This window comes from Homo sapiens, chromosome X (genome assembly GCF_000001405.40).
Source record: "Homo sapiens chromosome X, GRCh38.p14 Primary Assembly".
NCBI lineage: Eukaryota > Metazoa > Chordata > Mammalia > Primates > Hominidae > Homo > Homo sapiens.
In genome coordinates this window covers 123,344,069-123,366,500 of record NC_000023.11, presented here as the reverse complement: position 1 = coordinate 123,366,500, position 22,432 = coordinate 123,344,069, and the positions used below count along the sequence as shown (strand labels likewise).

The window sequence follows — 22,432 nt, the reverse complement described above, 5'->3', positions numbered from 1 at the left end:
ATAAATGGCCCTTGACATACCAAGTCAGCATTTTGACTGAGCTCCTCTCTACCCCAAATGCAAGGGAACCAATAGTTAAGCGGGAATATCATTGCCCTATTCAGCCTAAAGAAGTTACAGAAGATGAATCTTCATCCTTCTACGAAGGAGAACCCTTAGGATTAAAGGTTCTCTTATAAAAGGGAGAGGAGAAATGTCAGAGGCATTTGAACAAGAGCAACTCCATCATGAGTAGGGGCTGGGTAAAATAAGGCTGAGACCTACTGGGCTGCATTCCGAGGTGGTTAGGCATTCTAAGTCACAGGATGATATAGGAGGTCAGCACAAGATATGGGTCATAAAGAACTTGCTGATAAGCCTGCTAAATCTCACCAAAACCAAGATAGCAATGAGAGCGACCTCTGGTTGTCCTCATTGCTACACTCCCACCAGCGCCATGACAGTTTACAAATGCCGTGGCAATGTCAGGAAGTTACCCTATGGTCTAAAATGGGGAGGAACCCTCAGTTCTGGGAATTGTCCACCACTTTCCCAGAAAACTCATGAATAATCCACCCCTTGTTTAACATGTAATCAAGAAATAACCATAAAAATGGGCAACCAGCAGCCCTAGGGGCTGCTCTGCCTATTCTTTGTTCCTTTACTTTCCTAATAAACTTGCTTTCACTTAAAAAAAATAAAAAAAGAATGTGCCCCAAAGCAAGGTGATTACATTCCTTTAAAATCTCTTCTTTTTGTATCCCTTTCTCTAATTTAGACTTACGGAGTATGAGGCCCAAGCATCTAATTCAACAGGTGATTTTGAAGTACAAGAGGGTTTGAGAACCACTGGCCTAGATTATTGTCCTAGCTTCCTAGTTGGTGCTCTGATTTCTTTTTTTTTCCCTCTCCAGTTTATTCTTCACATAATAAATTTACCTTCCTAAAATACCAGTTAGTGTATAAGACTCCTTTCTCAAAGGACTGCAATGAGTCCCTACTTTCTATTAACAGCCAAATATCTTAACTTCATTTTCAAGGATTTCCATTATCTGTTATCTTCTGCTCCCCTGGCCTCATCTACACCATTTCCTTCAACAGACCTCATGCTCTAGCCACATCATGCACTCTTTTAACATTGGTATCTTTGTTCTCTTTGCCTACAAAGGGCCCCTACTTTATTACTTACAACTTTAGGTGCCTCTATTGAAATTTCATTCTTCAAGAACCATTTTCTTTTCTTTCCTTTCTTTCTTTTTTAATTATTAATATTATTGTGATTGACAAATCATAATTGTGTACATTTATGGGGTACAATGTGATGTTTTGATATACATATACAATGTGAAATGATTAGATCAAGCTAATTCACATATCCATCACCTTGCTTACCTACAATTTTTTAAGGTGAGACATTTGAAATTTACCCTCTTAGTTTGAAATATATGATGCATTGTTATTGCACCCTGCTGTGCAATAGCTCTCAAAACCTATTCCTACTGCCTGTCTGAAACTTTGGACCTGTTTATTAACAACTCCTCATTCCCTCTCTCCTCACCCCCTAGCCTCTGGTAACCACCATTCTGCTCTCTACTTCTATGAGTTCAACGTTTTAAGATTCCACATATACGTGAGATCACGTGGTATTTGTCTTTTTGTGCCTGGCTTATTTCACTTGACATAATGTCCTTTAGATTCATCCAAATGAATGTCACAGTGACAGGATTTCCACCCTTTTATGGCTAAATAGTATTCCGTTGTGTACATATACCACATTTCCTTTATCCATTTGTTCATGGACACTTAGATTGATTCCACTTCTTGATTATTGTGAATAGTGCTGCAGTAAACATAAAGTGCAGATAACTCTTCAATATGCTGATTTGTTTCTTTTGGATATATGCCCAGCAATGGGATTACTGGATCATATGGTAGTTCTATTTTCAGTTTTTTGAGGAACCTCCATACTGTTTTCCATAATGGCTGCACTAATTTACATTCCCACTAACAATGTGCAAGCATTCCCTTTTTTCTGCATCCTTGCTAACATTTTCAATTAGTGAAATAATGGTTAAGAACATCTATATCAAATTTGTCCCTGTATCTTCTACTAGGTAGTAAGGGGGCTAATTGTGCTCCTTTATCCTCCCCCTTCCCAATGATTACATAGGCTATTGTACATATGGATGACTGTTTATGGATTTTTGTCTTATTATTGCATGACTTCCCATGCCTTCTGTGCAATAAGTATATGTGTATACTCTACAACATAGGTGCTAAGTGACTCTAAGGTCCCAAATTTCCTGTTGTGCTATGGAATTTCTGTTAAGCCTATCTTATTATTTCATAAGGATTTTAATAATTAAGGGTTGATTACAAATTCAATGATTTTTGTGTGCTTGGACTAAACTTATCGAATTCTAGTGCTGTTTGCATTTCACCAATTCTATTTGGTTGCAATCAATGGTTTTGTTGGCTAGCCATGTTAGTATCCTTTTCTTTGGTTTGAACGGTAATCTTTGTGTGCAGTGGGAAGAGATTAAAAGATATGAGAGAAGGCAGGGACAGATTGGAAGCAATCCTACTGCTCATAGATAGGGTGAATTGAAATTCTGCTTTCTCACTCTCTGCGTTCTAAGTTTTCTGTACACTTGACTGCTTCTGTGTAACAATGGTGATATTTGTTAGAAATATGGGTATAATATCCAGAAGTGATTCTTCTGAAACGGAAACTACCCATTTTGATTTGTAGGTTCTGCTATATTTCATAAATTGCACCACTTCTCAATCATATCATGTCTGTTTGTTTGATCAGTGCATGTTTGCTCACATCTGAATGCAGCTATATAAAACCAACATGACCTTTATGCCTAAGCAGTTCATGCAGGGTCTTGTAAGCTTCTGTTGATTAACTCTCCAAAGCCATCTTTCACATAGACACTGGTTACACAACTGTCATCCAAACACAGACCATCCATGATTTGAGAATAGCCCGACAATTCAGTCTTCCAAAGATCCAAATGACTTTGGTATTATCCCATCTTTGTTGATTTTCACATACTGAATTTCACTTTACTTTTGGAAGTGTGGATATTTGAGAGTTGGAAATAAATATATCCAAGGCTTACATTAAGTGCATTTATTTTCAAGGTATGATGTGGAGTTTTCCTTCATACAGTACTATTATTAGGGCACATTTTGTACAGGGGGAAAACAGAGACAAGATAAGTTGGGTGACTTTTAGGAGTTGATGATAGATTATGGGTGAGAAAAGGTGGCTTGCCTATAGGAAAGATAAAAGCAGTAGAATGAGGGTTGGAAGGCTGCCAAAGACAACTATCTATCTCACATTTTGGATGAAGACTGGCTCTGCCTTTGGTGCCATTTGTACTGTTCATCTGGGTGATGCTTCAGTAAAGAAATGCATAGTAATTGTGGTGATTCAAGTTGTCAGATTGCTAATGAGAGACACAAGTCTTTTTCTAGAAAGCAGATCCATCCTCCTGGGAGGATACAATGTGTAGAGTTGACAATTACACCATATAAATTAGTACTTGATTACAAGTTGCTTATATTGTTCACTCATGATTTTATTCTCTAGTCTGACCAACAAACATACTTAGAAACCTATTAAGTGCTAGCTGTTACAATGGCGAGCCATCTCAAACTTGGTCCTTGCCCTCATGGCACTTCAGTTCAGTGGGGGTTATTTGTATGAATAAATAAATAATTACAACGTGGCATAAGTTCTATTAATGGGGAAATAGCCACTGATCTCTCTCTCTCTCTCTCTCTTTTTTTTTTTTACTAACAGCTTCATTGAGGTATAATTTATATCACATAAAACTCATCCATTTGACACGGATTTTTAAAAAAGCATAAATCAGATCATACCCCTTCCCTGCTTGAAATTCTTCAATGGGCCTTCTGTTGCTGTTGAAAAAAGGGTAAAACTCTTCCACCTGGCATCTAATCTGTCCTGTCACTCATTCTGCTCTACCCAAAATTGCCTTCTGACTGTTCAGGGAAGACATCAAGCTGTTTTCTGCCTCAGGACTTTGACATGTACTGTTCCCTATGCATGAACTCTCCCTGTTTCGTCATGTAGCTGAATCTTTCTCCTCTTTCAGATTATGGTTTCAAAGTCACCTTTTCTGAAAGGCCTTCTCTGGCTACACTATGCAGACTTCCACGGTATTGACTTCCACAATCTGCCTTCTCTTTATTCATTGTCCCAGCACCTGTTCTATCTCAGTGGCAATTATCATAAGCTATGCAAGTCTGGTCTGAACAATACAATTATAAGGTTCTTAAGGACAATACACTCTGTTTTCCTTGCTGTGAAGTGAACAAGTTGTTGGACATACAGTGGTATATATAGAAAAAAACACTTACTGTAAAGACCTTCAGAGCAGTGCTACTCAAAATGTGTGCAGACTGGTGCTGGTTCATTGTTTGTTACCAGTCTGAGATGATATAAGGAAAGAAATGGAGGGTAAGTCTTTACCAACCTTCATAGGAACTTGACAGGGTAATATAATGGCTATTGAATGTAATACTAAAAATACTGAACTTATATTTTATATATCTTATTTTGCTTATTTCATTTTTTAAGTAATTTATTTTTGTTGCATGTTTACTGGTCCATGAAGATCTTGGGGGGAAAAACTGGTTCTTCTTCACAGGTAGTTTAGGAAGCACTGTTTTAGAGGACATAATCTGAGAGTTTGGGGAGAAGATAAAATGCTTTTAATTCATCTTGCTATAACATTGGGTAGGAAATGATCTTTCCTTGTTAATTTCAGGCAGGGGAGAGAGAGAAGAGAGACACAGTGCAGTGGTTGACTATAATAAAGGCATTTTGGGAGAGAGAGAATAGGAGTCTCAGAGTTCGCAACTTTAAGCTGACAAATGCCTGTGGCTTTTGAAATGCATGGCAGGAAGTTGGAAACCAGCCCAGTCCCCACTCCTCATTCCCTTGGTGTTCTATGTACCATTTCCATTTGGAGAAGAAAGTGAATCCTGAGCTACCAGAGAAGTTGTGCACCAGGAGAGGTGACTGGGCTCCCTGGCATTTGGGACCAGGGGGAATTTTTACCTGCAAGCCCACCTCCCTTGCCTGCAAAGCCAGGCTCCAGCCCAGTGAGCTCTGTGTTTACATGCCATCTGCTGAGGTGTCAGTGATCACAACACGTGGCTTTGAGCATTTGAATTTTTTATTTAGAACATAAAAAATGTCGGAACAAAGAAAGGGAAAGTAGAGAACAGAAGAAGAAGACCTGGAAGGGGAAGAGAGAAGGGAATAGTTGTTATTGGCAAGCAAAACAGCATAACTAAATCTTATTTAAACTTGTTTTCTCTCTAAGCAAAATAGGCCCTTCTGTTTTTCAAGTACATTCTGAGATCTGGTGAGCTGCAGAGTTCACTTCCTCAAGCTTGTTGAAGCTCCTGGCTGCCTGTTTGGGTTCAATCTTATGAGTAATGCTCTTGTTTTAGTAAAATTTTGGAAAAATTAGATGTCATCTAGTACCCCCCTTCCATCATTATTTTCTGGCATAAGTGAGGTTGGATGAGGAGGGAGAGAGAAGACGAAGCATAAGAAAAAAGGGGAATGAAAATGTGTGTGTGTGTGTGTGTGTGTGTGTGTGTGTGTGTGTGTGTGTGTGAGAGAGAGAGAGAGAGAGAGAGGAGGGAAGGAAAATGGTTAGACAGCAGGGAGTGATGGGGATGTAATTGATGCCTGTTAAGATACAGTTCATGTTGGGCTTTTGGATGGTTTTTTTCAAAACCAGATTCACAAAGGTGTCCTTTTTTTTTTTTTTTTTTGAGACAGAGTCTTGCTCCGTCACCCAGGCTGGAGTGCAGTGGCACGATCTCAGCTCACTGCAACCTCCACCTCCCAGGTTCAAGCGATTCTTCTGCCTCAGCCCCTCAAGTAGCTGGGACTACAGGCACATGCCACCATGCCTGGCTAAGTTTTTTTTTTTTTTTTTTTTTTTTTTAAGTAGAGACAGGGTTTCATCATATTGGCCAGGCTGGTCTTGAACTGCTGACCTCGTGATCCACCCACCTCGGCCTCCCAAAGTGCTAGGATTACATGCATGAGCCATCGCTCCCGGCCCAACGTGTCCTTGTTTTTAAAAGCCCTTTTTATCTCTGATCACTTCATCCTCATAAATTTAGAGCTTGTGCTTCATTTATTTACATTTGTGTCTTTGCAAATGCTTTTATGTGACCTTTGTGGTGCTGGCTTTCTATCTCACTGAGAAGCTTGGGTGGGTAAAGTGGGAAGAGCGAGGTGCTCTACTAAGAGTGTTACCAATCTAGATAGAAAACTTAGTTTGGCAATGGATTAGCTATGAGACTTTGGGCAAGTTATATATATTTTCTGAGTCCATTTTCTGATATGTAAAAGGCTTAGGAAGGTGGGTGGGCAAGAAGTCTCTCCTCATAGAAGTTCTGAGAAAATTAAATGAAAGTCTAAAGAAAACAGCTAACACATCAGAGAGGAATATAAGATAGATGAACTTTCTTCTATTTTCTCTTCTTGCACAATGACCTGTTTGATTGCCTGTAGCTCTCTACTGCTAACAGCAGACATTACCTAAATTCCTCCACTTAAAGGGTCAGCAATTGTCTCCAACTCTGGTACCAGTATCAACCTAGGCAGGGAAAATGTCAGGTCTTCTAAGGCAGTGGTTAACTGGTGCAACACTGAATGAGCCCTGCTATGGCTCATGTTCTCCCCTGGGCACTTCAATTGTTTGTGGGTTTTTGTTTTGTTTTGTTTTTGTTTTTGGTCTTATTTGGGGAGTGATGAACATCTGTTGTTGGATCATTCAATCCAGATCCAATTTGCCCTGTGTAATCTGCTAGACTGTTTTTGATTGATCCTTCAGATCCTCAGCTCTGCTTAGAACTTGGCTAAGAATACTCATATCTATCTTGGTTTTTGCCCCCTTGGACTGATTTTAAAGCTTTAGTCTGCCTTATAACTTTATATCCCCAAGGATAACGGGGCTCTGGTTTTGCTTCCCTGTTTGTGTCCTCAGCATTCACCTGGCCTACCCTGGCCCAAACTGAACTCCAAGAGGGAAGAAATGTAGATCTAGAAGCGACAGTGGTGTATTTTCCAAATTCTAGTCATTAGTATACCACCTTTTCAATTTTTTGCCATAGAGGTGGACCATCCGAACTATAATTTACTTAATATTTTTATTTACATTGACTGAGTTTCTTTTATCTATATATCTACTTTAGCCTCATTCTAAGGAATGGTATCTATAAAATCACAGAATTGCTGGGATAGTTGTTTTTCCAATATGTATTTAATATACATTCAAAACTAATAAGTTAAAAGAGAAGTTTTGCTATGTAGTATCTAAAATCATCTCATGTACATTTTGGGAAATACTGATCTTGTCTACGTCTGCATTTTACAGATTGATAATCAGGTTCAGAGGGGTTTGGTTTGCTATATAGCTAGTTAGATGAATTCTTGGGATTCAAACCTGACTCCTACCTCCTAGCCTCGTGCTTTTTTTTCTTCTTATTATTATTATACCACACTGCCTCCTGCCCTTGCATCTATTCCTAATATTACTCTAGGGCTCTACACACAGTAACTGAGCTATCATTACTGACATAGGTGAAAAAAACTAAATCACTTTACATAACATGCCTGACAATGCAGTGTAAAGCATCCAGATCCAGGACCTTACCATGAGAGATTGAGAGGCTGCTTGACTGACAGATTGTACACATGATGGCTAATTCTGGGACTAACGTTGACAAACAGCGCCATGTTAGAGAGAGTCCTGGAAGATAAAACAACAATTAATTACAGAACAACTCCTAAAAAATGACATCATCAACTGATACAAGAATTTCTAAGAGACTTACTTGCTCTATTGGGATGTCCACTTCTAGCCTGAGTAGATCACATCTCTGGGTTGTACTCCTGGTGAAATCTTCTGTTTCTTTCCGGGATTTCAACAAGCTAGAATTTTCTGCAGCTCATTGTCCACTCTGAAATGTACATCTTGACCTCTGAGAGGTCTTCGTTAAAGCATTCATGGAATATCCAAGTCTTCTCACTTTAGGATTGTTACCAGGGGAAGTTCCATGTAAATGTACAAAGATGTCTTTGCCAGATAGAGCTCAGTATCAAAGGGAACTGCAGGAAGTGATTCCAGGAAGCTTAGTTAAGTAGCTTAAATATTCTTGACTCTACATTTGTAGAAGAAAGCAGTGGTTTTGTGCTGTCTGTAACACCAAGACTCACATTGGACTTTGCTCTTTTGTATATAGATATCCACCCTCAGCTTTCATCCAGCTGGCTCATCTTGAAAGGAAACATCTTCTTATCTCCACTTCCCCTTTTCTTGACCATCCAACTTACTTCTAAATAGTTTTGGTTCTCTGTCTCTGTCTCTCTCTCTCTCTCTCTGTCTGTCTTTGATGGAGGCATTTGGGGTAATTTTTATCTGCTTTGAAAAAACTGGGAACCATGGACCATAGTAGGGATAATTTGGCTCATTATTATTATCATCAGAGATGAACAGCAGCTCCTATCTCTATTACCCAAATGCAATTTGATATAGAGTACAGGGACTTACACGGCTGAATTCAAATGAAAAGAGGGTCACTAAAGGAAGAAAAAGGGTGGCAGCTCAAAGCATGGTAAAGGAAGTCACATTTTCATTACTTAGACTGACATCATACTATACATTACTTTATTTTTAAAGGAACAGACTTTGCTTGTTCTTGTAGTAGACATTCCCCCAAAGTCTCATAATTCTGAGTTGTGTGTATAGGATTCAGTTTACCATTCTTTTTCCCAACGTTGTCCTAGTGATTTTTCTCTTTCAGTTCTATCACTCCATAGACTTTAATTTTTGTCAGGTCTGGATCTCAAAATTGCAATAAAAGCTGATTTAAAAGATTGTCAGTAGGCAAAGGATAAATTCTTGAGATGATGGGTACCCTATTTATCCTGGTGTGGTTATTGTGCATTGCATGCCTGTATGAAAATATCTCATATAACCCACAGATGTATACATCTAGTATGTACCCACAAAAATAAAAAAAATAAAAAAGTTTGTCAGTAGAAATAAGGAGACCCAGTTGGAATTATAGAATGGGAAAGGCCTTTACAGATCATCGGTCATGGTAGGCCAAATGAGATAGCCATTCTTATGCACGGCTCAGATCGCTCTTTAAGACAAAATCTGTCTCAAAGAATTAAGTTAGCTGACAACCTCCAGCTTCAGGTACCTTCAGATCTGCCTCAGTTTTTCAAGTGGAAGGTGTGTGCTTTCTGGGCTGCTGCCAGCTAATGACTGAGCAAAGTCGGGATGAAATGATTTGCCATTTGGAAGAAGCATAGGACTCCTCTATGAGCTATCTTTTGAACTGATCTCCTAGTTGTGTTGGCCAAGATTTTATCAATGCTACAGCACAGTCTGAAGCTTTTCCTATTAAACTTGCTTCCTTTTCCCTTCTGTTACTGGTATAGACCTGTATTGTGGTCTGAAGCTCTCCCTGCCTACTTATGTCCCTTTCCCTTTTATCTTTCACAGGTATTACTCCCAATAAATATCTTGCACTTCTAATTATTATCTGCTTTCAAATGACCCATCCGACACATCAATGACTGCCCCCCACCACTCCCACCTGAGTTAAAGTAATGGAATTGTAACACTGTCTGTAGAGTTGAAGTGACTTGCCCAAGGTCCCTTACCTTGCTAGTAGCAAAGTCAGTTTGACAACCCAAACTTTCTGATCCCCAGTTCAATGTTATATCTCAAACTTAGTCATTCATGTATAAAACAACCAGGTAGGCAAAACCCAGATTTTGCTATATCTCTTTATCCCCCTTGCTATTGTTTACTTGAACATTAAAAACATATTTTACTTTTGTTATATCTCTATTTTAGCCCTGTTTGAAGTAATAGTATCTATACAATTTCAATTTTGATATGCTAGTTTTATATTTTTCTAATACATAGTAAGGAAATATATTTTCATTAAAATAAAAAAGTTTGCGTGCGTATACTACCTAAAGTCACCTCATGTATGGTCAGTGATTGGTGAACCCTGCATTTTTAAACACTGTGCTATAAACCTTGCTGCTTTCTAGGACATACAAATAAGAGGAGAAGGAAAGGGGAAAGAGATGAAGGAAGAGGAGAAGGAAAGGGGAAAGAGATGAAGGAAGAAAAGAAGGAAAGAAGAAAGGAAGGAAGGAAAACAGAAAGGAAGGAAAGAAGGAGAGCAAAATATTTTCTGGTGAGAAAGTAATGACAAAAAGTCATCAATAACTGTATCAGGTGCCTTGTTGTGACATCCATATATCCTGACAAGCCACAGTTTAACCTCCATTGCATTAAAAAAGTCCTTTATTTGTTGGTTGCCTAAAAACCATATTGAAAATATATGGATGTAATTTAAGAATCAAGATTTCTTCTTCTAAAAGACTAGATTCATTTATTCCCAAAATGGACTAAGTGCTCCACTTAGAGCAAATTATTGGAGAAAAATGCACACTACATTTGAAAGCAGTAGCTCTAATCTGCATCTTATAAAGTGTTTGAATGCACATACCCCTAAGAAAGAGGTTTAAGTAACATTTCCTTTTTCATTTAAAAAATATTCATTATGAAAACAAAATAAGATATTAGATATTTCTTTGATTAAAAAATATAAGAATATAATTACAATAATCTTTCACCTTTGTTTCTATTCTTTTGGCTTAAGAGCTTTACAATGATCATGATTTTCTTGTGCTAATGAAACAAAATTGGGGTTAGAACTCATGTAATAACTTAATAGATTTTTAGTATTATAGCGATAATTTAACATTTCTCTTTCATTTCATGGAGATGGTATTATTCAGAACCTCTGCCAAACAGATATTACTAATTTAGAAGCAATTTTGTTAATTCCTAAACAAATTGTCCTTCCAGAGAAAGAAAATGTATAAAATAACCTTAATGAAATACTAGCTTCTACAGTGTCACAAATTTTAAAGGCATGGGAAGTTTGAAAGTAAAGATTCAAGTTGTGTTTTATGTAAGTAGAAAGGTGGCTATACACTTTGGCAGGGTCATATAATGTACTGTGTTGAAACCTACTCTGACATCTGCTCAAAAAGATTTGGTAGTGGTCTGCTTCTGAAAGGACAAATGCAGTACTGATCTGCACATATACTTGAATCAATTGGGAAAGAGTCAGTTTCCTGTGTCCCCAATTCCATGGTTTATCTTTCAAACCCAATTAAAATAGTTTACATTTCAAACCGAAATTGAATCTAAAAATAAGTAATGAATCATATCAAATTATTTTTTAAATTAGGAAAGAATATAGCTGCTTCACAGCTAAAACGACAGCATAATTGAAAGCAAGGCTATTGCATTCAGGTTTTGGTATTTACCGAAGTCATTTCTCCAAGTTTCTGGAGAAAGCATTAGGTACTTGATGTATTTCCTTTTTGGATGATTACAGAAAAATTCAAACTAAATAGGATATATTGCCCAGGGACACTTGCTTGTTCTTACCAGGTTAGCGAGCATGTAGTGATAACCTCTTGAGTGTTTCCCTAGGATCACAACCTGCAGAAAGAAGAAATAAGACATATTGCTTATTCAAGAAGGACATTTTCAATTGCACAATCAGTGGGGTGGCTAGAACAAAATGTTAGAGCTTTTATATACAGGAAAATCACAGTTAATTGGATCAGATTTCTTGTTGTTGCATTTCGCTTTCAACTAGATAAAACAGGAAGACTTGCTAATACCAAACTTAAAATGTCAAAACAAGGGGAAAAAAACTCCCTAAACTTTCAGGTCAATAGCATCACTGTCACTTAAAATAGATGGCAAAAGTGATGAAGCTGAAGATCCCCCACTCATGAACTCGATTTCTGTACTTAGCTTTTGAGATGGAAAATCAGCTGAACTTTGCATACAAAGTAGAAAATAGAATGTACAGTATTTTTTTTTTGTTGTTTTTATCTGGAATGCTAAGGGAATAGAACATTCAAGGAATGGGGTTAATGGGATTTTCAGGTTAACCGAGGTTGCTTTTGCTTATTGAAAACTTTTCTAAAATAATTATCTTCCTTTTCCTGCTTTAGTTTGAAAGACTTGTAATCGCTTGTACATCTTTTGGTGCTGATCATGATGCCTTAGGGCACTGAGGAGGGATTCCTCTCGAGGACACTTGGCAATGCCTGGTGACATTTTTGATTGTCACAACTGGGAAGGGTGCTACTAGCATTTAGTGAGTAATGGCCAAGGATGTCGCTAGACATCCTACAATGCTTGGAATAGCCCACACATAAAGAATTCTCAGGCCCAAAATGTCAGTAGTGCTAAGGTTGAGAAACCCTTCCTCAGTATCATCATTCTTACCATAATTTTTATGAATAATGCTATATTAGTACCAAGTCTAATAATAGGCTTTGTATTAATAAAAATGTACTTTGTACAGTTCACGAAGTACATTTTTATTATCTCAAAATATGTGAGTGGGCTGAATATTTTCCAATCAAATGTATTGGTTAGAAGTTAGAAGTTTTTGACTAAATAATTGATGTTTATTTCCTTGAAGCCAAATTCACCAAAAACTCTGGCTAACTGAGGATTTTTATTGAGTACTGACTGTGTACAAAGTACTACAATGAGTACCCATGGACGGAACAGGATAACATAGAGGTTAAAGACACAACCAGAGGTGGAACCAGGTTTTGTACTGGCCTGAAGCTAATGCAATTTTAGGATCTTTCTTTAAAAAAATATAAAATTATGAATGTCATAATTTGGAACAAGGCCTTGGAAAGAAGCTATGCAAGTGAGGGGCCATTAAGCTTAAGCTTTATGATAAATTTCTCTCTGGATGCAGCTATTAAAGGGTTTAGAACAAAGTGAGAAGGCCTCAAAATTGCACATATATCAAACCAGAACTATACATGAAAGATTGTAATAATAATAAGTCTAACTGTCCTTATTTGAGTGCCTAGTATATGCAGGCACGGTGCTAAGTGCTTTATATGTATTTAATCCCCAGAACAGTTTAACAGATTAAGTATCATTAGTCTCATTTTACAGATGAGGAATTTCAGTCAGAGAGAGTTTATGTAATTTTTCCAAGGCCACACAGCTAGGAAGCGGTAAAGCTGGGATTGGAATCTGGGTCCATTTGCCTCTAGAACCCATACTCTTGGCAGTACTTCACATGGTTTCTAAATATATGCTAAATAGCAAATGCTAGTAATTGCTATAAAGTCTTGGACAAGAGGAAGAAGAGATATTTAAGGCCTGATATGAACAGGGAAGGCTTCATGGACGAGGCAATGTTTAAGTTGACCCAGAGAAGTGGAACCATACATTTGACTATGATGCTGGCATTACAAGCCCTCAAGTCATTTCAACAAGTCATTTTAAGTATGTGTGTGTGTGTGTGTTTGTGTGTGTGTGTGTGTGTGTGTGTGTGTGTGTGTATGAGAGAGAGAGAGAGAGGACAAGAGAGCAGTTTTTGATTAATTTAAATTATGAGCCACATTTCTGACTGATTATTTATAGAGGAAATGAAAGGTTAATAAATGTCTTGAGGATGTGATTTCTCATGCTTCCATGACACAAAATGAGCTGTTAGGTATCTTCTGGGATGTATTCTTCAGTGTCCGCTTGCGAGAAACATCCTTGCCGGTGACATTTGTTAACTTTTGGTGGCAAGTTGGGACCATACATTTGTTGAATTTTTAATTAACTGACAACTCTCAACATAATAAAACCAGAGGGTTTTGAGTTCTGCTAGAAAAATGAGCAATATTCTTAAAGACATCTGGCAATGCTTAGAGGGGAATAAGGAAGGAATCCCAAGGAAAAGGAATACGTCTTTTTCATCAGAGGCAGAGTTTAGTGTTTTTTTGTGTGTAGAGAAGATGAGAGGGAGCAATAGAAGACATCAGTGTTGTGAAAAGAACAGTGAATGAGAACCCAGGACCCCAGTCTTGTCATTTACTAATTGTTTGTTTGTGGGCAAATTACTGAGCCTTCATTTCCTTATCTATAATCTGGCCCTGCCTATATCAGAAGTGTTGCTGGGATCAAACTGGATAATGTCTCCAAAAGTGTTTGAGGCTGGGTGCGGTGGCTTACGCCTGTAATCCCAGCACTTTGGGAGGCCGAGGCAGGCGGATCACCTGAGGTTGGGAGTTTGAGACCAGCCTGAACAACATGGAGAAACCCCATCTCTACTAAAAATACAAAATTAGCCAGACGTGGTGGCAGATGCCTGTAATCCCAGCTACTCGGGAGGCTGAGGCAGGAGAATCACTTGAACCCGGGAGGCGGAGGTTGCAGTGAGCTGAGATCGTGCCATTGCACTCCAGCCTGGGCAACGAGAGTGAAACTCCATCTCAAAAAAAAAAAATGTTTGAAATGTGCATTATTTAAGTGTGTGATGCTATATAAATGTGGGAAGGGGTCATTCATTGAGACATTGTTTTTCAGGTTCAGAAAAACTTGGAGCTATCAAGATATCTGCTTTAATTCAGGCCCACTTTGGTCTGCTCAGAACAAATTTACTTATTTGAAGGTAGCTGTCTTATAACAACACCCTTTCAAAATTTAGCTTTAAACTGGGATAGGAAGCTTATCTAAAGATAGGAACATTAAAGTGTCACAAAGCTGATGTATTGAAGCCCATAATTAATTCCTCATCCTTGCTTTCAGTGCCTTAACTCTTACTTAACATATAGTTCTTACCAATCTTGGTTTTCCAGTTCACAGTAAATTAAAAGCTGCAAACTAGAAAGGGTGTGTGTGAAGGGAGGGACTGATATTAGAAAGAGGTACATTAGTAGCAGTGGAAGTGACAGACTGACTTAAAGGAGAAAGAAGGGATGAGAAAACGAGACAACATCATACTAGTGCACAGTATAATCATGGATGTTCCCTAAGTCATCAGGCTATGGTTTATTGTGTTCAGTAATCTCTGCTGAAAAACCCAGGGATATGCATATTTTAGGGAAGGTTTCCAGAAGAAATGCTCAAAGTCCCAATACTTAAGACAGTAAATTTCAGTTATCTTGAAATCTTACTTACGTGGAGCAGCTATGATCCTACTGATGTGAGCTACAGGAGCCCTCACCACAAAAAGTGTCATGTTTTGCTCTTGATCTTTCCCTTTTTTGAATTTTTGGTACAGGGCTTATGGGAATAGGGTGGGATGGGAGGATTGTACTTAGTGCGATGCATAATGGAACTAGTTAATGGGAGTGGTTCTTGTTCAGCTCACCCTAAATCTTTGTTCTTTCCATCTGTTATAGATGAACAAGGCATAAATTGTACCCTCAGTTACTTAATGACTCTGGTAACCAAAAGAATATTCAACTTTGCTTTTACAGTAATTATAATAGCTCTTTCTGAATTAGTTGCAGAACTTCAAGTATAAAAGCTGTTTTTACAGTCGACCATGAAATTTAAGGAAGAAATAGCAAGTTTCCAAATCCATGTTCTGTATTCACTTTGCTTTTGTAAGATTTGTTGGAGATGATGGATGGCTTGATATGATAGCAGATATATTAAATGTAATAAGGGGAAATGTGTGAAATATAGATAAAATTTATTGTTTTAAGGAAATTTATTTTAATCCTCACATATAGGATCTGAAAGAAAAAAATGCCACAATCCTTATTCACTGAAGCTTTATCAGTAGAGTTTCATTCGTAGAAGAAAGAGCTCTTACATACTAACACACAGAGTGATGCATATAGCATCAAATTATTTGTCAAAGAAGTTAGTGAATCATAGTCAACCCATTCTGGGGAGACTTCCTCTTACTGGCCCCCTCCCCATATCCACTCATCTGTGAAACTGGGGGTTGGGTATCACTGAGCAGTTAAAAATAATTCATAAAATATTCATTTGGTTTTCTATGTAAGAGGCCCTTTCCTTTTCAATTTAATGTTTAATCTAGACATTTTCATAATTTTAGAAATTTGAAATGAAATTGCTCCACAAGACTACTTGAGAGAGGCCCACAGATCCGTTGGGAGGCAAAAGCATCTGTTTTTCTATGCTCACATTTTAGAAAAAAATATGTGTGTGGAGAAGTGTGTATGTTTTTTTCCCCCTTAGATCCATCTGGTATGCAGATTAGGTTATTTGTAGACCTAAGTATCTCCTTGTTTGGATTTTCTACATCAGCGCCAAAAAAGGATCTATGTATAAAGATTGATCTTGCTTTGAGTACAGAACAACATGCCTTGATGCTCACCTTACTCTATTTCTCTTTGATTTAGGCATCCTGCAAATGTCTGAGGGGCTAGGAGAGAAGTGTGGGTGTGGGGGATTGCTGGTTTAATTCACCAAGTTTTCTTCATTTATTGTATGAATACTTTCTCTTTAAGAAAAAGCTATTAGACCACATTCTTTATGTTCAAAGAGGGGATATTTTTCAGCCCCCTTCATTTTTTCCTGCTCTCCTAGTTAATTTTTTTTTAAAAAGATACTGTTGTCCTATGGCATCCTATTTACATTTGGCTATGTTGGAAGTTGAATAAGAGGTGTGCTACAGAAATCAGCCTTAAAACATGCCATACTTTACAGAAGAAATCTTCCATATGATAAAAGGCATTCATCTTCATGAATAAAACCCCCAAGGTACTAAATTGCCTGAGTCTTCGTAAATACATACCAGAAGTCAATTCTGTTAGAATTATTTTCTAATAATCTTAATCTGCACACACATGCTCTCCTATCACCGAATGACAATGCTTCATATTGCAGTCATCTGACTTGAATAAATGTGCTGGATTAGTGAGGCAGAGAAGAGCCAATCACCCATACCAAAGTCAGCCCAATGGTAATGGGGGTGGGGGTGGTACAGATGGAGAAAGACAGGCTGAAGCTTTTTGTAAAGAAGGAAAACGGAAGTATAACCGAGGAATCTCATCAATGCTTATGCTATCTACAGGGAAGCTTATGCAGAGAGAAGGCAATTGAATAAGGCATCAAATAAAATGCTAGGATGTGAGGATTAGAGAACAAGGATTTCACCAAAGAACATGTCTTTGGGAAGTTTCACTTTCCAGACTTTAACATTGCATTCATCATGACTCAATGGAATACATGGAAGATTTAATGCTAAACAGCAGGAGAGGCAAAGAACCAACGCAAATAAGAGGCAATAAATGGCCATGAATAAATTAAAGGAGCAACAGATTATTATTGGTATTGGGGATAAACAGCCATTTAAATACATGTTGACCTTTGTGGGAACACTTCATTGTCTTAATCCTAAAACAGCATTTCTCAAATTTCACTCCTTCACAAACGTCCTTAATGATTTTTGTCTTATCTGCATATCACATGACTATTATTTACTTAATTTTTTCCTTTATAGCTAGTCACTACTTAAATCTAGTCATGTCCAGAGGGATAATATCAATGACACTAATACAAGAAAATAAATACAACTGTATGAAAATAGAATGTATTCATCTAGGTGTCACTGAAAATCCTCTTGTGTACCACCAGGGATGGTGGGAAATATTGCCTTAAAGCCATCATATCTTTAGGGGAGAGAATGTAGATCAGGTTTCCCTGTCCTGATGAAAGGTTAGTTTCCCATTTATGGTTGAAATTTTAAGAATATCTTCATCTACTTTCAAATCTTCTTGAGTATTGTAAAGGAGCAAAATGATGGACAGAGTTCGGAAGGTAGCAAATGATGCCTGGGACTGTGTAAAAAATCTGGAAACTTACAAAACCATTTCCTGAGGCAATTTACATGTATTTTCCCACACAGGATGCCTGCAGCTTTGATCAGCTAGAGTCCTTGGTCATGGGTCCAACAGTAAATACTTTAAATTCCTGGATCTTTCCACCAGCCAGCATCCTGTAAAATGATGCTTTATCAAGCTATGTTGCATTTTCAAATGCTGTTCTTGGAGTACCTTATCTAGAGGACTTTTCATGGCACCCTGTTTATATTTGGAAATATTCTAGATTTTTTTTGGAAGGCAGAATTGGAGTGATTTTTAACTAGTATTCAATCTAGAGTATCACAGCAAAGGGAAATTAGTTTTTCTTTAACACGACCATGTTTATGACTTCTGTAGCTTCTCTGATATTAGCTATCTCCCCAAATTAGCAAGAAATTTATTTTAGAGAGTAAATTTTAAATTACAGCATTCCTGATATCTTCTTTTGTGAAATTTACTGTGAACTATTTATATATTTCTATATTCACATTCACAACAATGTTTGGTTTTAATATTGACACCCTTATTCTAAATATCAAATTGTATCTTTGTGTTCTCTATAGACTTTGCAAAATCATTTGGGCCCAAAGCAATATAATCATGAATATCTGACAGATATACTGAAAGCACTGTATGGGTACTGAGTAGCAAGCTTGAGAGTGCCAGTGAACTCATTACTTTGATTTTTTATTTTTTAAGGAATGGCACCATCGGGTATATGGCTGAGTAGTTACTCAAATGTGTGTTATTTCCAGCCACAGCTACTTGAGGGTGGGTGGGATAAAACAAGACTTCCTTCATTGGCTCAAGAGTCACACCTCTCCATCTTTAGGTTTTTATTAGGATCAATAACTCGTCACACCTAAAATGATACCTTACAGTGTTTAAACTTGTAAGAGTCTAAAATTCTTTATAAATGTTATCTGAGTTGCCCTTAAAGCTGCAAACAAATTGGTATTTATTAAAGGTGATGTACTAGAAAGAGACATAAACCTCGAAGTCGGATGGTTCTGGATTTAAATCCTGCCATTTACTTATTAGTTCCATTATTGTGTGCAAAATTTAAGCATGGCTGGTAGGATATTGTATTAGAGACCAAGTCCAGCCTAGAACAATGGAGCCTCCGAGTGGGGAGGGAAGAGAAACATATGGGGATGTAGAGGGTGGGATGTTCTCCTTTTGAACTCCCTAGGTATGCCTCGTCTATGCATTTTCCATCTGTGCAGTGCTTCCAGCACTTGATATCCTCATCTATGGAGATTTTCTGATTGCTGAAAGAAGTGAGTGAACATGTTTATATTTTCGAATAAAAGTAAATATCTCTGAGAAACCTAATGTGTTCTTTGGGCCTTTGATTTTTCAGGATAGTTGCTTACTTGGCAGATTTCTCTTTCTACTGGGAGCCATGTCATTTAAGTGGATCTCAATTTGCAAATGGATGACAAATGATAGAGGCTTAGTTCATGGGAGGCAAACACAGAATTCTCTTAATTCACAAATGTTTGGTTTGGTCTTTCGCTCCTGCTATTTGCATCTGGCATTATTTTCCCCACTCTGCCAGCTCATCCACCTTTCTGATCACACTGACACGCTAACAGTTCAAGCACCCTAGGCAGAATTATAGACTTTCAGCGAAATACAGGGGGCTCTTGAAAGCCCATTGTTAAATATTCAGAAATTTTGTGAGCCAGTTATTAAACCATTGGTTGCTTGAAATCAGCCATGATGAGAGTACTAACACCACAAAAATCGAACAATACTACAAATCAGGGCTTTTTATTTTGCTCTCTGGGAGCCAGTTTTCCAGCATACCACTGGATTCAGAAAGAATATTGATTAAAATCTCAAGTGGATGGAAGGGCTGCATTTATTAACCACATTTCATTATTCTCTTCTTTTAATGAACATTTTTGAATGCCTGCTCTGTGCCAATTCTGGGGCTGGACCATGGAGATACAGAGGTCACAGTAACCTGGTCCTTAGCCTGGAGGATCTCACATTCGAGTGGGAAAGAAAGCCAAGTTAACAGACAATTATAACCCAGTGGGAGAAGTGCAAGAACAGAAATATGTACAAGGTACAACTGAGGAGAGAATGATTAACTCATAATTTGCTATAGATAGAAAGTACTTTGTCTCCAACTAAAGATCTAGAGAAATTTTTCCTGTAGCTTTTATAAGTGGGAACCTGACAAACAGGTAACTTAAACAGAATGCTATTTTGAAAATGAAGAGAGATGTGTTTTAGAGGGCTATTTCTCTTGATTTCAGAAGAGCCTTGCTCTTTTACAGTGCTTACACACTAGGGGAAAGATTTTTATTGGGAGCAACTATAAGCATTTGGTGTGATGGTATCCAGGGCTGACTCCATAAGAATTGGAGTGGTGACTGAAATGATTGGTGAAAAAAGCTAAGTTACAGAGGGTATGAATGATTAGATAGTAAATAGAATGGTATCTGCTAAAGACAATGTATCCCAGCTTTGCCAGTTATAAGCTGTGTAACTTTAGGCAAGTTACCTAACCTCTCAACCTCAGTTTTCTATCTGTAAAATAAGGATTACAATAGTCGAGAGGCAGTAGAGTAGGGTAGTCAAGAGTACAGGCTAGACTGCCTGGCTTAGAATTCCTACTTTGCTGTATGACTTTGGGCAATCAACTTAAATATTCTGGGTTTCAGTATCATTATTTGTAAAATGGGTCTACCATTAGTACCTATTTCATAGAATTGCAGTGAGGAATAAATAAAATAATGTATCTATAGTTCTTAACAGATTGCCCAATGCTTATCCTATATTAGTTATGCTCTCCCTTCCTTACTCCTTATTTCAATGCCTCTTCCCTTCATCCCTCTCTGTAGAAATCACATCAATCCCTCAAGGCGCAGGTCATATGCAACCTCCTCCAAGAAGCCTTCCCTGATTTTTGTTCCCCAAGCTCAAAAGGTAGAGAAGAGGTTTCCTGCTGCTGTGGGATGGGGGCCGTGGAAAGGCATCATTACTCAGGTGCAGAGGAGTATTGGGGCCACTGGTTAGGATGGCACTGGGCTGGAGATGGAGGGAAGGAGTTGAGGTTTGTACTTGGAGTTTGGGCGTTTATGCTGAGAGTGCAAAAAGGACAAGAGAAGAGAAGCTGGGGGTAAACTGACAACAAAGTAACCCGCACTGCCACCTTCCCCTGCGCCATCCTCTCCCGCCCCTAGCATTGATCAAAACCATGAACTCAAACTCTACAGTAGCCTTGTTTGGGAAGGAGGTGTGTGTGTGTGTGTGTGTGTGTGTGTGTGTGTGTGTGTGTGTGTGTGTGTGTGTTGTGAAGGGGGGCTCCCACTCAGAGACAAAGGAGCACAGGTCATAACCTAACTGGGCATGTGCAGTCATCACAGTGTTTCCAATACAGGGGAGAATAGGGGTTGGGGGTGGGCAGTGAGAGAGGTGAGAGCAATAATTTGGCAGTCAGTAAGATGCATATCTCCTCCGCATTGTAGAACATTGCCTAGGCGTCTTGGGCTGCCCTACTCTGACAGTAGCATCTAGCTCTTGGCCTTATTCGTGCTTCATTATAGGAGCAGGGAAGCATAACTATTCCAGGCTTTCTTACTTGACTCCACAGAGGCCTTGGAGGTAGAGATAGCACTAAGGAACATAATCTACATTCCCTTGAGGCCAAGTCTACATGGATGTCTTAGGACAGTATTTCTCAAAGTGTACACTATGTGGATCACCTGGGGAATCTAGAAAATGCAAGCACCTGAGCTCCTCTCCAGGGACTCTAATTCTCAAGTCTAGGTTAGGGCCAGGGAGCCTGCATTTTAACATCTCACCTTTGGTGATTCTGATGCACACTGAAATTTAAGAACCACCTTTCCATCTGATAATAAATGCACTTTGAAAATCTAAAAGCAGGACCCTCAATGATGGGATCCTCATCAAAGTGGATAGGAAGGGACACACTGAGTCTATGAGGTGGTCCCTTAGGGATCACCCATGGTGAGTCCTGGGTAGGCAGGGAGCAGCATGAGGAAATTCACCCAGACTCCTGGGAAAGGAGCCAAAAAAGAATTTCTGAAACATTGTTGTTTTAACCAGGACTCTCCTGAAGGCAGACCCTGAGACAAAGATTTGAGGGCCAGTAGTTTAATTGGAAGTGATTCTATGAAGAACTAGTAGGGGAGCGAGGAAATGAGACAGGGAGAAGAAAGGTGACAAAACAGTGTATTAATCAGCAAATTACCTCTGGGACCTCTGGAGGTGATGGACAATACACCTACCAAAAGGGCCAGGAAGTTGGGGTCTTTGACTTTCAACTCCCATTCACCATTAGCTTATAACTGCTTTGGGAAATATTAATTCCTCCCTCACTCTTCTGACTTGTCTCACTCCCAGGCTGAGAGAAAGTCTTCAAGAGGAGAACAGCATGTGCCTACAATAGGATGCTTTTGGCAGGTATAGGAAAGGTTAGTGCTGAGGGGATATGGGTAGGGCACCAACAGCATCTGCTACACTGCAATCACCTTATGTCACATATGTAACACTTTAAAGTTTATGTATTGCTTTGACATACAACACTGCAAGTGATAAAACAAAACAAAACTGTGAGTTGGGCAGTAAAGCATAGTTAATGATAAGAGTGCACTCTGGAGTCAGATCGACCAGTTCTTCCTCTTCCAAGATGAGGTGATA

At 38.5% G+C, this 22,432-nt stretch overlaps 1 protein-coding gene across 2 annotated transcripts in view; it reads right to left on the bottom strand.

The window, feature by feature from the left end:
• Positions 1-22,432, bottom strand: part of GRIA3 (glutamate ionotropic receptor AMPA type subunit 3) — a 306,638-nt gene that overhangs the window by 124,415 nt on the left and 159,791 nt on the right. For both annotated transcript variants that reach the window (NM_000828.5, NM_007325.5), the window contains exon 5: positions 11,538-11,591. In NM_000828.5, the coding sequence (NP_000819.4) occupies positions 11,538-11,591 (54 nt within the window). The remainder of the gene's footprint in view (positions 1-11,537; positions 11,592-22,432) is intronic.